Source organism: Homo sapiens, chromosome X, assembly GCF_000001405.40.
Source record: "Homo sapiens chromosome X, GRCh38.p14 Primary Assembly".
NCBI lineage: Eukaryota > Metazoa > Chordata > Mammalia > Primates > Hominidae > Homo > Homo sapiens.
The window spans coordinates 113,539,043-113,540,529 of NC_000023.11; the positions used below are offsets into that span (position 1 = coordinate 113,539,043).

Here is a 1,487-nt window from a genome sequence, read left to right on the forward strand (position 1 = left end):
TGGCTTTGGGGAAAAGGGGTTCTGCCTTCTATGACCCACCTTGGAGAAGAGGGATTCTAATTTGTATGGCTAACCTCAGGTGAGAATAAGATTGAGAGACAGGAGGGAAGGAGAAGATCAGAGAAAACTTTTGCTTCTGAGGCCTTCATTTTGAAGTATTGTTTCCTCAGCCCCAACAATCCAGAAAAATTATTAGATAAAAATCACTTCTCCTTGAGAACAGCTATTTACAAATAGCTATTTAGAAATAAAAAGAAATTTTCTTAAACTGATAAATGTTTTCTGCCAAAAACCTAGAGTAAACATCATGCTCAATCTAGAATAAACATTATTCTTAATGGTGTTAATGAAAAAAAAAAAAAAAAAAACTCTCCAAAATATTTAAAGAGGTTTATTCTGAGCCAGTATGAGTAGCTATGGCACAGGAAATGGTCTCAAGAAGTCCTGAGAAAGGGTGCCCAAGGTGGTTGGGTTATAGTTTGGTTTTATACATTTTGGGAAGACAGGAATTCTAAGGAAAATCATAAATCAATAAAGGTGTACATTGGTTCAGTCTAGATAGGTGGGATATCTTGAAGTGGGGTTTACAGGCAAGAGGTGGATTCAAAAATTTTCTGATTGGCAACTGGTTAAAAGAGTTACGCTTTGTCTGAGGGATTAAGTCAGTAGAAAGAAAGAAATGCTTGAGTTAAGATAAGGGAGGGTGTGAAGACCAAGATTTTTGTTATGTAGATGAAGCCTCATAGGTAGCAGCTTTCAGATGGCATAGAAGGTAAATGTCTCTTATCAAACCTTAAAGGTATCTGACTCTCATTTAACCTCACCTAGATGTGAGAAAGACCTAGAAAGGGAAGGCCTGGCTGCCTTAATGGAGATGGTCTATAGATGCAAATTTTCCCCACAAAAGAAGGCTTTGCAGGGCCATTTAAAAATATGTCAAAGAAATATATTTAAGGGGAAAATATTTTTACTTCCTTTAGGGTCTGCTATCTGTCACATGATGCTATACCAGAGTCAGGTTCTAATTTGGTGTCTTATTGCCACAAAGAGTTTGTTTTGTCTTATGGTCTCTATTTTAATGTTAATGCTGGTCACTTGTACCTGAATTCCAAAAGGAGGGGAGTATAAGGGAGCCTGTCTGACCTTCTGTCTTGTCATGGCCAAGAACTCAGTTTTTCAAGTTTCTCTGGGATCTGCTTGGCCAAGATGGAGTCCATTCAGTTGGCTGGGGGGCTTAGGATTTTATTTTTGGCCTACAATGGCAATACTAAAGAAGTATTATTTAGCAATCGTTATAACACAAAGATATCTACAATCACATATTATTTTCAACATTGTGCTAAAAATAAAAATAAAGTTTAAAAAAGAAAAAAAGCACATTGTCATTATTAATGTAGTTCAATAACTTTACTAGATGCAGTATCATACGCAAAGTGTATTTCTCTACACTGACAATAAAAATTATAAAATGGAATAAAAACATGATT

The 1,487-nt window shown here is 35.8% G+C and overlaps 1 annotated feature.

Moving 5' to 3' along the window:
- Positions 473-1,256: an enhancer, noted in NCBI's record as "OCT4-NANOG hESC enhancer chrX:112782802-112783585 (GRCh37/hg19 assembly coordinates)". NCBI's record gives its function as "activates a minimal SCP1, AML or CMV promoter by ChIP-STARR-seq in primed H9 embryonic stem cells {active_cell/tissue: H9 hESC(primed)}" and the evidence as "EXISTENCE:reporter gene assay evidence [ECO:0000049][PMID:30033119]".